This window comes from Homo sapiens, chromosome 6 (genome assembly GCF_000001405.40).
Source record: "Homo sapiens chromosome 6, GRCh38.p14 Primary Assembly".
Taxonomy (NCBI): Eukaryota; Metazoa; Chordata; class Mammalia; order Primates; family Hominidae; genus Homo; species Homo sapiens.
Window position 1 is genome coordinate 106,197,232 of NC_000006.12, and position 14,221 is coordinate 106,211,452.

Consider the following 14,221-nt stretch of genomic DNA (forward strand, 5'->3'; position numbering starts at 1 on the left):
TCATTTGAGGCTGGGTGCAGTAGCTCATGCCTATAATCTCAGTACTTTGTGAAGCTAAAGTGGGAGTATCACTTGAGTGAGAAATGTAAGACCAGCCTGGGCAACACAGTGAGACCCTGCCTTTTGTTTTCAAAAAAGGTAGTTATTCAAATATTAAACTCTGGCTTAAATTTCATTTACTCCTAATTGATAAAATCATTTGTTATAGTGTGGTTGCTTGTCCCCGCCAAACCTCGTGTTGAAATTTTATCACCAAAGTTGGAAATGGGGCCTAATGGGAGGTATTTGGGTTGGGGTGGGGGGGGCGGGGGTGGATCCCTCATGAATAGATTCATGCCCTCCCTGGGTGTGGAGGAGTGAGTTCTCACTGTTTTAGTTCCCACAAGAGCTGGTTATTATAAAAAGCCTGGCACCACCCTGCTCTCTCTGGCTTCCTCTCTCACCATGTGACCACCGCACACACCAACTTCCCTTCAGCTTCCACCATGAGCAGAAGCAGCCTGAGGGTCTCATGAGATGCCCAATCTCCAGGCAGTAGAGCTGTGAGTTAAATAAACCTTTTTTCTTTATAAATTACCCAACCTCAGGTGTTTCTTTATAGCAACACAAACAGACTAACACAGCATCTAGTTTTTAATGTTCTTTAAAGTACTACTACAAAGTACTCAAAAAGGGAAAAAAACACAATACAGAGAAATGAGTAACTGAAAGCCAGTGCTGCCACGGACAGGTAAGAGGTTTATGGGGTTTATCTCTATCAGCAATAAAAACGATTAACCTCTTCATTACACTTCAAATGAAAATAACTCATCTATATTCCAAAATCCTCAAAAACAAAAATAGATATTAAATAGATCAAAAACAAACACCCTTATAACAGAGAAAATGAACTAAAAAAGTAAGCTTATTCTTGAATTTCTGGGAATTTCTCAGAAGTTATGAGTTACTAAGGCAAAATTTCTGTAGCCTGAGTTCAAAAATAAAAAGTTTACTTAACTATCTCTAAAGATATACAGGAAAATGGCAACACTGGTTGTCTCTAGAAAGGGGAACCAGGTTAGAGTTTGGTGAACAGGTAGTTAGGAAAGAGACTTTTTACTAAATTCCTTTATATATGCTTTGATTTTTAAAATATGTAAATGTATTGCCTATAAGAAAAAAAGTTTTAGTTATTTAACTGAACACAATCCATTAAAAAAAACTTGATAGACAGGAATTCACCAAAATTAAATGCTTTTATCCTTCAAAAGAAAATGAAGACAAGGCTGGGCATGGTAGCTCACACTTGTAATGCCAGCACTTTGGGAGGCTGAGGCGGATGAATCCCCTGTGGTCAGGAGTTTGAGACCAGTCTGGCCAACACAGTGAAACCCTGTCTCTACTAAAAACACAAATATTAGCCAGGCATGGTGGCAGGCACCTGTAATCCCAGCTACTAGGGAGGCTGAGTCACGAGAATCACTTGAACCCGGAGGTGGAGGTTGCAGTTAGCCAAGATTGCACCACTGCGCTCCAACCTGGGTGACAGAGCGAGACCCTGTCTGGGAAAAAAAAAAGAGAGAGAGTGAGAAAGAGAGAAAGAAAATGAAGGCAAGTCACAGACTAGGAGAAAATATCTGCAAATTGTGTATCTGATAAAGAACTTGTATCCAGAATATATAAATAATGCTAAAAACTGAGTAATAAGGAAACAATCCATGAAAAAAAACAAGGATTTGAATAGACACTTCATCAAAGAGATCTACAAATTATAATAAGCACATGAAAACATGTTCAATACCATTAGCCATTAGAAAAATGAGAATTAAAATCATCATGAGATACCACTAGGATGGCAATACATGTGACTGAGGATGTGGAGAAACTGGAATCCTTATACACCGCTGGTGAGACTGTAAAATGGTACAGCCACTTTGGGAAAGCTCAGTAGTTTCTTTTAAAATAAAAAATAAACTTACTATATGACCTTGTCATTCCACCCCTAGGAAGCTACCCAAGAAAAATGAAAACAAATGTCCACAGAAAGACCCATATTTGAATGTTCCTAGCAGCTCTGTTTATAAAGGTGAAAGGCTGGAAACAGTCCAAACACCCATCAGCTGGTACAGGGAGAACCAAAATGTGATGTATCTACCCAATGGAGTATTATTCACCAATCAAACTATGGACACTTGCTTCAATACGGATGCAACTCAAATACATAATGTTAAGTGGAAAAAAACAGTTGCACAAGACTATATGCTGTATGGTTCAATTTATGTGAAATATAATAGGCAAATTATAGAGACAGAAAACAGACCAGTGGTTGTTTATAGCTGGCAGTGGAGCAGAGATTAGCTACAAGTAAGTACAAGGAGATGGAAATGTTCTAAAAACCAAATTGTGGTGATGGTTGCACAACTCTATAAATTTACTAAAAAATCATTAAATTATAAAAAAATTATTTAACTAAAACTCTTATTGAAAGCTAAAATTACACAGTAGTAAAGATGGATTAGGAGTCTAAGATAGTATTATAATCAACTTAATGTTAATTGCTCCAAGATTTAATGATCGTAAATAATATGTTTCATGGTAATGATAGAAAGAATTCAGTAACTGGATTGTTTGGCAAACATTTACCCTAGCACTAGAGATACATGGATGTGTGTAAGACATCATCAGAAACCTTACTATAAAGGCTAGTAAAGTTCAAGGAAGACTTTATAAAATGTATTTATAACCTCTTAAATCCTGTTCAGTTTTAATAATTTGGGTAGTCAGTGGTCTCTTCCTTCAATCCTTTCTGGCATTGGTTCTGACAGTATTATTGTAGGTGCCCTTCCCCTTCCTAATGAACCTCTGTTCATTTTTAAAGCATTACATACATGTAGGAATGCTAGTATAAGCAAGCATACTTGACTAAGGAAAATTGCAATATTCTCAGGCTGAATGACACATATTTTGGGCTCCATATTCTTTGCTTAGTCATTTAGGCTGGAATACCACAACATTACCACCAAACCCACTGTTCCTAATTCTACTACTTAGGCAAACTATTTCCTTAGATGCAAAATGCTTCATGAACTGTGTGGTATATGTCATGCAAGTAATCCTGCATTCCTCCAATTCAGAATACATTCGTAAGAAACAAGCATTATCTGTTAAAGTATTACCTTCATATATACTAATGCATTACCTGTTTCCTTCATGGATTTAAAGTTTTTTAAAAAAAATTTCTATTATATAATAAATACAACTCTGCAATTTTTTTTTTTTTTTGAGACGGAGTCTCACTCTGTCACCAAGGCTGGAGTGCAGTGGCATGATCTTGGCTCACTGCAAGCTCCGCCTTGTGGGTTCACGTCATTCTCCTACCTCAGCCTCCCAAGTAGCTGGAACTACAGGCGCCCCGCCACCACGCCCAGCTGATTTTTTTTGTGTGTTTTTTAGTAGAGACAGGGTTTCACCATGTTAGCCAGGATGGTCTCGATCTCCTGACCTCGTGATCCACCCGCCTTGGCCTCCCAAAGTGCTAGGATTACGCGTGAGCCACCACACCCGACCAACTCTATGCAATTTTTATGTCAATACAGTAATATGCCACTGAAAATTTCCCCTATAGTTTAGTAAGCATTAATAGGGCTGGGATTCAAGAGCAGCAGGACATTTTACACACACACACACACAATGTGGTCACTTGGTATTCATGAAGGATTGGTTCAAGGATCCCTGAGGATACCAAAATCCACCCAGGCTCAAGTCGCTTATATAGAATGGCATAATATTTGCATATAACCTATGCACATGTGTGCTTTAAATCATTCATCTCTAGATTACTTGTAATATTTAATGCAATGTAAATCTATATAAATACTTATACTGTATTCTTAGGGAATAATAACAAGAAAAAAAAGTCTGTTTATCTTCAGTACAGACACAATCATCCATTTTCTTTCCCAAATGTTTTTTATCTGCTGTGGGCATGATGGGGAGCCCATGGATATGAAGGGCCAATGTGTATGTATTATACACATATGTATATCTCAAGTATTCAAGTGTATATGTGTGTGTGTGTGTGTGTGTGTGTGTGTGTCTCAACAGTGGTCTCTATCAGTTAATGGATTATGGGCAGTTTTATTGTTTTCTGCATTTTCTTGGTGTTCTTTATGTTGTAATAAAGAAAAACAGAATTCAGAAATTTTAAAATTTGTCCCTTGCTTGCAGGAAAACAGCCTTAACCTAAGTTACAAAATTAGCGCCATGAAACAGGTCAAGTTTTTGAACGAACTTGTAGATTGTCAAAGCCTAAAAGAAAAAGGTTAACTGAAAAAGTAGAAAGTAGTAGAAAATTCAAATAAAATACTCATCCATTTTTCAGTATTATCAACTTTCAAATATCAAAAATGAGAAAATTATTTTTACCATTTCTGACTTCTTTAAAGTTAATAAACAAAATGCAAGATTAAAAGTAGTATTTATCAGAACTGAATCCATAAATTAAAAACCAGAGTACCAGAGATATACTAAGAGGATGATTTAAAAACTGTATTTTATTTCGCCAGTCGAGTCATCATTTTGTTAGTCAATAATTTACAAAATAATATATTAAATATTAGGTGCTTCTGTTTGAAAAGACTTTTCGCTGTAAGATATGAAAATATCTTCCTGAAATAACCTGTTGTTTATAAATGTGGAATGCTTATTTTACTTCAGTAACAGAAAATGAAAGAAATGTTTTAATGTTGCTGATTGTATTACCTTCAGGATCAATAGCAGAAGGACAAACTTCTTTGAGGAGATCTCCTAGTGTGTGCAACTGTCCATCTGCAGCCACAGGACGAAACAGCTTCTGAATGAAAGGTCTTTCAGTCGTTGTCTATTTGAAAAAGGAAAAAATGATTCAAGCAATTAAGTCTTTGTTGCTGCCAATTACAAATTTATATATCATAAACTTTATGTTGGCATTAGGTGCCTTTTGATACGGTGTTAGCATAATTACACAACATCACAGATGTGGTATCACTGTGAAAAATGTTTAACATGATAAATTCAGGTAAATCTAATTCTGAGGAAACAGACAAATCCAAAGTTGGGTGGGACATTCTAAAGATAATTGGCTGGGACCCTTCAAAAACTTAAAGACATTAAAAAGCAAACAACACAAAAAGATATCAACAAAAGCATTTTTTCTCAGTATCTCTTAAAGAGACTAACAAAGCAAATACAAAACATAAACCATGGCTGAATACTAAATTGAAGAAGGACATTTTTTAGAAATCCAACTATGAAACACAGTTTTGGGATAAATGGGGAAATACAGAATGGACAACTGATAATATTATTGAGTTAATGTCAAATTTCTTAGGTACAATAAGGACAATCCTTATTTTTAAGAAATTCATTGTTCAAGTGTTTAGGAAAGAAGTGCCATGATATCCAAAACTTAATCTTCTTTCTCTTTTTTTGGAGACAGAGTCTCGCTCTGCCACCCCGGCTGGAGTGCAGTGGCGCGATCTCAGCTCACTGCAACCTCTACTTTCCAGGTTCAAGTGATTCTCATGGCTCAGCCTCCCAAGTAGCTGGGACTACAGGAGTGCGCCACCATGTCCAGCTAACTTTTTGTATTTTTACTAGAGATGGGGTTTCACCATGTTGCCCAGGCTGGTCTCAAACTCCTGAGCTCAGGCAATCTGCCGGCTTCGGCCTCCCAGAGTGTTAGGGTTACAGGCGTGAGCCAACCGCTCCTGGCCCCAAAACTTAACCATCTAATGGTTGAGAGAGAGACAGAGAGAGAGAGAAAGAGAGAGACAGAGAATGTGTGTGTGTGTGAAGACAAAGCAAAAATAAAAAAATATTAACTAATGGTGATTCTAGGTAGAGGGTGTATGATTTTAGTAGTTTCATTATTTCAACTTTTCGATAGGTTTCACAATTTCCAAAACAGCAGATCCAGCCATTTCATCTGACAAAAACTGTTAGCAGCACTACATCGTAATTTATTGCTAATAATCTCATTGTTTTACTCTTAAAATTGTTTCATTTACTAAATTTCCTTAGTGATGATGGAGGCTTTATCATGACAGAGTACAGAGGCTCTGAAATGAGCCAGTGTCTATGAAGAGCACCACTGTTTGCAAGATCTATGATCTTGTACCCAGTTTCCTTTATCTGTTAATTTGGGACATTCCATATCTCTTGAGTTTGTTGTGGAAATAAATGAGCAACTTTGCCAACCACAGAGTAAATAAATAAATGTTAAAGAGAATAAAAGCATTTTTACCTCCTCTCTCCCTCTTAACGGTTATTTCACTTTAAGATGGTAAATTTTAAGCTTTCTGAGATGAAAAATCATTAAAACTTAACAAGAACAGAGAAATGCCATACATACATATTTTTTGTTTGCTTGTTTCCTGAGACAAGGTTTCACTCTGTCACCCAGGTTGAATTGCAGTGGTGCAACCCCCAAGTTGCAATCCTCCACCTAAGCCTCCAGAGTAGCTGGGACTACAGGTGTGAGCCACCATGCTCAGCTAATTTTTTTACTTTTTTGTAGAAGGGGGTCTCACTATGTTGCCCAGGCTGCCTCATATTTTATAAGAATATGACTTCAAACACTTAGGCATTAGCGACAAGGTTTTGTTTTTGTCTTTTAATGACAGAGGTATACCTCAACATATTTGACACAACTGTTAGAGATTTGGTTTAAAAAGAAATAGACATGGATGAAGCTGGAAACTATCATTCTCAGCAAACTAACACAGGAACAGAAAACCAAACACCTCATGTTCTCACTCACAACTGGGAGCTGAACAACGAGAACACATGGACACAGGCAGGGGAACATCACACACCAAGGCCTGTCGGGGAGTAGGGGGCTAGGGGAGGGATAGCATTAGGAGAAATACCTAACGTAGATGAGGGGCTGATGGGTGCAGCAAACCACCATGGCACATGCATATCTATGTAACAAACCTGCACATTCTGCACATGTATTCCAGAACTTAAAGTATAATACAAAATGAAAAAATAAATAAAAATAAGTAGAAAAAATAAACATGTAAGCATGTGAGCTGCCTTTCCTAATTCTATGTTTATGTATTCACTGAATACATAGTATTTTAAAATAGTAATCCAATAATATATTTGAGTGTTTGTGACAAGTATGAAAATTGTAATTTTTAAAAAATCTTGATAATATGCATTGAATATGATTTAATTCACTTCACTATTTGAACTCTTTAGGGATTATTTTTAAAAATATGATTGATATCCTTTGATATGTTTTGGCTCTGTGTTTCCATCCAAATCTCATCTCAAATTGTAATCCCCACCCGTCTAGGGAGGGACTGTAATCCCCATGTGTCGAGGGAGGGAGGTGATTGGGTCATAGGGGTGGTTTTCCTCATGTTGTTCTCGTGATACTGAGTGAATTCTCATGAGATCTGATGGTTTTAAAAGTGGCAGTTTTTCCTGCACTCTCATCTCTCTTTCCTGCTGGCTTGTGAAGGTGCCTGCTTCCCTTTCTGCCATGATTTTAAGTTTCCTGAGGCCCCCACAAGCCATACGGAACTGTGAGTCAATTAAACCTTTTGCCTTTATAAATTATCCAGTCTCAGATATTTCTTTAAAGCAGAGTGAAAACAGACTAATACATTCTTCAATTTAAAAAGCCATACTTTCTCATACAAGTTGAAACCAAGAACAATATCATGCATAATCAAGTGATTAACTGTGTAAAGATAATAAGGTTGAGGAGTTCAGAGAAGAAAAGAAATGAATAGGGAACTGTAGTGATAATTTAAAATAGCCATCCCTCACTCAGGGTTTTTGATCTTCAGGCCATGAAGAAGCTTTTAATGCTTTTTAGCAAAGGAAGTAATGTTGGTGAAAGGCTTTTTCTGACGACTAATGGAAAGCAGTGCTATGTATGGTGACTTGGTTATGAACCAAAACCAGAATGACTGGTGAGAGGCTGACTGAATACAGCAAGCTTATGTGAAGACAACTGGAGCTGGTGCAGTGGAAAAGGAAGACAGCAGGACTGTACCCACAACTCAAAGAAAAAAGTCAGAAGGTACCTCCCGCAGTCCAACCTGAAAACAACAAAGTCAAAGGAATCTTTTCAAGAATTTGGAGCTCTCATTCATATCCTAATTAGTGTATGAAATGTGAGGTGGCTTTGCTATAATGAAATTACCTGGAATATTTCTAACACAAAGAAATAATAAATGCTTGAGGTGGTGAATATCCTCATTTGATCATTACACATTGCATGCTTATAGCAAAAGATTACATGTACCCCATAAATAATTGCAACTATTATGTATCCATAATAATTAAAACTAAAAGATTAAAAATTACCTGAAAAAAAATGCTAAACAGGAAAGGCCAACTAGTCTTGGTTACATATTAAAAAACAGAAATTCTTCTCTAACCTCACTATTGGAGAAATATCCTGTTATTTTTATATATCTTTTTTTTCACCCTTTCCCAAATCTGAGCAAGTATTATAAAGGTATAACCTTCAACAATCTTTTATGATGAGGTATTTGCTTACTGGGGACAAAGCCCCAGTGCTATTACATAGTGTAGCTAAACGCTGTAGAATGGTAAAAACAAGAAAATGCTCAGCAAAGTGTTGTTTCTCATTTAATGAAAATCTTATTTTAAAACACAAAAACTCAATATACCCCAACCAAAAATCTGATGAACATTTTCTGTTTAATATTTATTATACAGTACCTTTAAAAACGTAATATTCTTATTCTTAAAAATTTAGTGTGCTAGCAAATAGCAATTAAGTACCTAAGTCAATCAGGACGACAAAAAAATACTCAATTTGGGGAGTTAGTTACTTCTATCATCTGAATGCGTCCCTCCAAAATTCATGCTGAAACCTATTCCTCATCATGGCAGTATTAAGAGGTGAAGCCTTTGAGAGGTAATTAGGTCATGAGGGCAGAGTCCTCAAGAATGGGATCAATGCTCTTATAAAAGAGGCCCCAGGGAGCTTGTAAGGCTTTTGCCCCTTCTGCCATGTTGGGGGGGTGGGGGTGGGGGCGCAGCAACCAGTGCTAACTCTGAAGCAGAGAGCAGCCCTCACCAGAAACCGAATCTGTTGAAGCCTTGATCTCTGACTTCCCAGCCTCCAGAACTGTGAGAAATAATTTTCTGTTGTTTATAAATTACCCAGTCTAGGCTGGGCGTGGTGGATCACCTGAGGTCAGGAGTTCAAGACCAGCCTGGCCAATATGGTGAAACCCCATCTCTACTAAAAATACAGAAAATTAGCTGGGCATAGTTGTGGGCGCCTGTAATCCCAGCTACTCAGGAGGCTGAGGCAGGAGAATCACTTGAACCCAGAAGGCAGAGGTTGCAGTGAATCAAGATCATGCCATTGAACTCCAGCCTGGGCAACAAGAGGGAAACTGTCTCAAAAAAAAAAAAAAAAAGTACACACTCTAACATATTTTGGTATAGCAGCCCAAATGGAATGGACTAAGACAATTACCCTTAAAATAAAAGCTCCCATAGAGAGATCATGCATTCAAGTACAGAGGTTCTTAAGGGCAATGGGAATGGAGGACATATTCCTGCAAACTTTTCAACAGCTCTCATTAGCCCGATGTTAGAGCTCTGCAAAGAAGACTAAATTATACTGAGAAATATTTTTAAATCTCCACAAATAGGAATGCTGTAAACGTTGATTTAGTATATATAAAATTAGACAAGACTAACAATATCCAATGCAATCTAAATCTTAGGTTGACAGACAAGAAAGCCACTGCAAACAGGAATATACCACAATACCTGATCTTGCCACATATTTGTAAATATGCAAAGTATTTCAATAACTTCCAAGAAACAGTATTACTCTCATGAGAAATAACATGATGTAAGTCACCTTTGAAACTGTCCTTGTTACTTTTTCAAATGTATGTTAGTCATTTCTTAACACCAAATGAAATGAAAAACTGAGGTGGTAATGGCTGGCTGCTCCCATCTCTCCTCTACTCATGTGCCTTCACCAATACAGCAATCATTTTTTCTTATATGGGAAATTTACAGTGTTGATATAGCTCAGAGATATATTGAAGAAAAGCAGAAAAACGAAACTTATAAACATTTTAGGAAACCTTATGTATTTTCTTAAATAGTTCAAGTGTAAAACTTAGAATTCTTATAAATAATGTGTGTTACAGCTATATTGTAAATGGTGGCTCATGCCTGTAATCCCAGCACTTCAGGAGACCGAGGTGGGAGGAGAGCTTGAGCCCATGAGTTTGAGACTCACCCGGGCAACACAGAGAGACCTCATCTCTTAAAAAAAAAAGAAAGAAAGAAAGAAATGAAATGCAAAGAAAAAGTCTCTATTTCAAATGTAGCCAGTAGAGCCAATAGGTTAACCAATATTAACATTAACGTTGATAAAACAAGAAATGATGATTTACTATAAGCTGAAAATCAGACAATGTATGGACTTTAAGAGTAACAGGCACGATCATCACAAACTTAAATCAGGTTTGAGTCCTATGAGTTATATACAGTTACATGATGCAACAAAAGATGCCAGCCAGTTGTTAAAGAGTATTAGATTCGGCTGGGGGTGGTGGCTCATGCCTGTAATTCCAGCACTTTGGGAGGCCGAGGAGGGAGGATCACGAGGTCGGGAGTCCGAGACCAGCCTGGCCAATATAGTGAAACCTGATCTCTACTAAAAATACAAAAACTAGTCAGGCATGGTGGCACGTGCCTGTAATCCCAGCTACTCGGGAGGCTGAGGCAGGAGAATTGCTTGAACCCAGGGGGCGGAGGTTGCAGTGAGCCGAAATCGCGCCACTGCACTCTAGCCTGGGCAACAGAGCAAGACTCTGTCTCAAAAAAGAGTATTAGATTCAAGTCCTGTTTCTGTCATTTATTATGGAACCATGGACACAACTACCTATCTTTCCTGAACCTCAGTTTTTTCAACTGCAAAACAGGAATATATACATATGTGTATATATACATCTGTGTAAACACATATGTGTATATATACATCTGTGTAAACACATATGTATATGTATAAATGGAGATAATACCTACATTATAGTTTCTGAGATAATAAAATGCACAACACAATTCTGACACATAACAATTTGTAACTTAAAACATACCATCACCAGGGCCACTAGTTTTAGAACACTGTAATGCATAGTCTAATTTAATACTATGCAAACTGTGTTCACTCAAGGTTTTATTTCCTTTTAATTTCATTCATTTACTCTTCAGTTGTTTGTAAGCTAAAAAGTCCAGAATCATGAAATTCAGAAGTTTACGTTTTAATGTTTTTCTATATGGCAAGGAAAAAAAAAAGGGCAAAGTCATTTTAACACTACTTTCAAAATCAGCCTAGAACTTAACACTAAAGGCATGACCCATAAAAGGGAATACTAATAAATAGACTTAATTAAAATTAAACAACAACAACAACAGCTAAGCTTTTGTTCTGCAAAAGATCCTGTGAAGAGAATGAAAACATAAGCCGCAGGCTGGGAGAAAATATTTGCAAACCATATTTCCGAGAAAGGTCTTGTGTCTATAATATATAAGAACTCCCAAAATTCAACAGTTTTTAAAAAAAGCAAATAATCCAATTAGAAAATGGGCAAAAGACATGAACAGACATTTTACCAAAGAGAATATATAGGTGGCAAATAAGCATATGAAAACATATCTCACACATCATTAGCCATTAAAGAAATGCAAATTAAAACCACAATGTGATATCATTACACACCTACCAAAATATCCAAAATAAAAATTAGTGGTAACACCAAATGCTGGTGCGCATGTGGAAAAATAGTCCTTCACACACTGATGGTACAAATGCAAAACAGTACAGTCCCTCAGGAAAGGAGTATGGCAGTTTCTTACAAAACTAAACATGCACTTACCATATGACCAAGTAATTATACTCTTGAATATTCCCAGAAGTAAAAATGTCTTCTCCAAAAAACTTATACATGAACGTTCATAGCTGTTTTATTCGTGAGAGTCAAAAACAGAAAGCAATCCCAGGGCTACCCATTAAAACAGGTGAATGCTTATAAACTGACTGTAATAGGTCTGTCCCACGGAATACTACTCAGCAATAAAAAGGAACAAACTACTGGTATATGCAACAACTTGGATAGATCTCAAGGGAGTTATGTTATGTGAAAAAAGTCAATCTCAAAAGGTTACACACTGCATGACTCCACTGATATAACATTAGTGAAATGACAAAAATTTTAGAAATGGAAAACAAATTAGTAGTTGTCAGAGGTTAGGGAAGAAATGCAGTAAGGTAGGTGGCTGTGGCTATAAAAGGGTAGCCTAAGAGATCCTTCTGTTGAAACGGGTATATTTTGAATATAGGGTGAATTTACATATGTGATAAAGATTGCATAGAACTAAATACACACACACAGTATATGTAAAACTAAGGAAATCTGAGTAAGGTTTGTGGATTATATTAATACAATTTCCTGGTTGTGATACTGTACTGTAATTATGCAAGATGTTAGAATTGGGGGAAACTAGATGAAGGGTATGTAGATCTTTCTGTATTATTTCTTACAATTGCATGTGAATCTGTAATTATCTCAAAATAAAAATTTTTTTCAAAATTTCAAAACAACTAGTCTAGAGCTTTGTTAATCAAAGTTTTCTCTGAGGACCTGTAGCATTTTGGTTATCACCTGGATCTTATTAAAATGTAGATTCTCAGGCTGCATATTGGAATTCCTGAATTGGAATCCGCATTTTAACAAGATTTCCAAGTGATTCATGTTTAAAGTTTGAGAAGCACTAGTCTACAACAATGACTTTTAACCTTTCAACCTACTCTAACACACTTGAAGGCCATAACAAAATTCACATCAATAACAGTTGCTCGGTTGGACAGTGACTCTCAACACAAATGAGTGAGGAAAGGTGGGGACTCAAGACTCAGGTAGCAGGAAAAGCCCCTTAGGTGATCCTGATGAAATGTTTTCTCCATCCTGGCTGAAAAACCCAGAACAGTCAATTAAGGCTCAAAACAAAAGTAATGTTTATAATACTGGAGATCTTTAAAAGGCAGATAATATATACTATAACAGAGCAAAGGTAATTATTACAATGTATAAATCTTATAAGAACCAAAATCAGAATTAAAATCACTAAGCACATAATGAAAATCCTTTAAAAAGTATAAAAATGAATGTAGTCTAAGTAAATACTAATAATGGCAGTTATAGTGAGAAAAGCTCTAGAGTCTTTTACTCTTCATACTTCCTAGTCACAAACATCTATTTCCAAAACTGACCCTTCGTATTTCAAATAATTTATGGCCTGGTACAGTAATAAGAGCATGATATTTAAAGCCAGTCAGAAGACACATATTCTAGCTCTGGATGGCACTTGATGACGATGGATTCAGCTTATGGTTCCAATCCCAGCTCTGTCAATTAGTACCTATATGACCCTAGTCAAATACTTAAACCTTCTTGTGTTACTTGTGTGTCAATTGTATCATCTATAAAATGAGGATATTAACAGTATATACCTCATAGATTTTTTTGTGAAGGTTATACAATTAATTCATATAAAGTATTTAGAACAATGTCTAGCACAGTGAATTCTCAATGAGTGTTATAATTGTTCTTTTTAAATGTGACTTGACTCTCAACAGAACTCTACTGAATTCTAATATGTATTCTGTATTGAGCTGTCAAAAAAAATAAGGATTATAATAACATATACTATTCTTGTAGTCAACCCTGTTACTATGTTATTACTAGTGTCAGTTTTGTTGTTTTGGTCATACATATTGTTTTACATACATTAAGAATTATTAGAAATGTTGGTTTATTAAAAATGACCATTTATGGCTAGAAGGGTATATATCTGGCTCACTGACTGTGGAGTCAATGTCCATAAAGAGGAGGAAGAATGCCATCAGAGTAAAAGGAGATTCTATTCACTGAAACAAAGTGATAAAAAGCTATGAAAGAGAAAAACATAAAATAACCAAAGGGGTGAAACTTAACAGATGCCCAGTAGATGCACAATGCACTGGGTTGTAAAACTTAAAATGGCCTTAATTAAAAGCCAAGCACGGATGGAGGTGCTGGGGGAGTCTCCTACGGACACAGCAGGCAGAATGTAACAATGACAAGGGGCTCAAGTTTATTTAAAAAGAGATTGGACAGGCCGGGCGTGGTGGCTCACGCCT

General features: G+C 36.5%; 1 protein-coding gene across 9 annotated transcripts in view; it reads right to left on the bottom strand.

Annotated features, from left to right (window-relative positions):
- ATG5 (autophagy related 5) overlaps positions 1-14,221 on the bottom strand; it is a 141,285-nt gene that overhangs the window by 12,756 nt on the left and 114,308 nt on the right. For all 9 annotated transcript variants that reach the window (NR_104403.1, NR_104402.1, NM_001286111.2 and 6 more), the window contains one exon: positions 4,741-4,858. Coding sequence is in view for 7 of the 9 variants with exons in the window: in NM_001286107.2 (NP_001273036.1) it covers positions 4,741-4,858 (118 nt within the window). In the remaining 2 variants the exon portion in view is untranslated. The remainder of the gene's footprint in view (positions 1-4,740; positions 4,859-14,221) is intronic.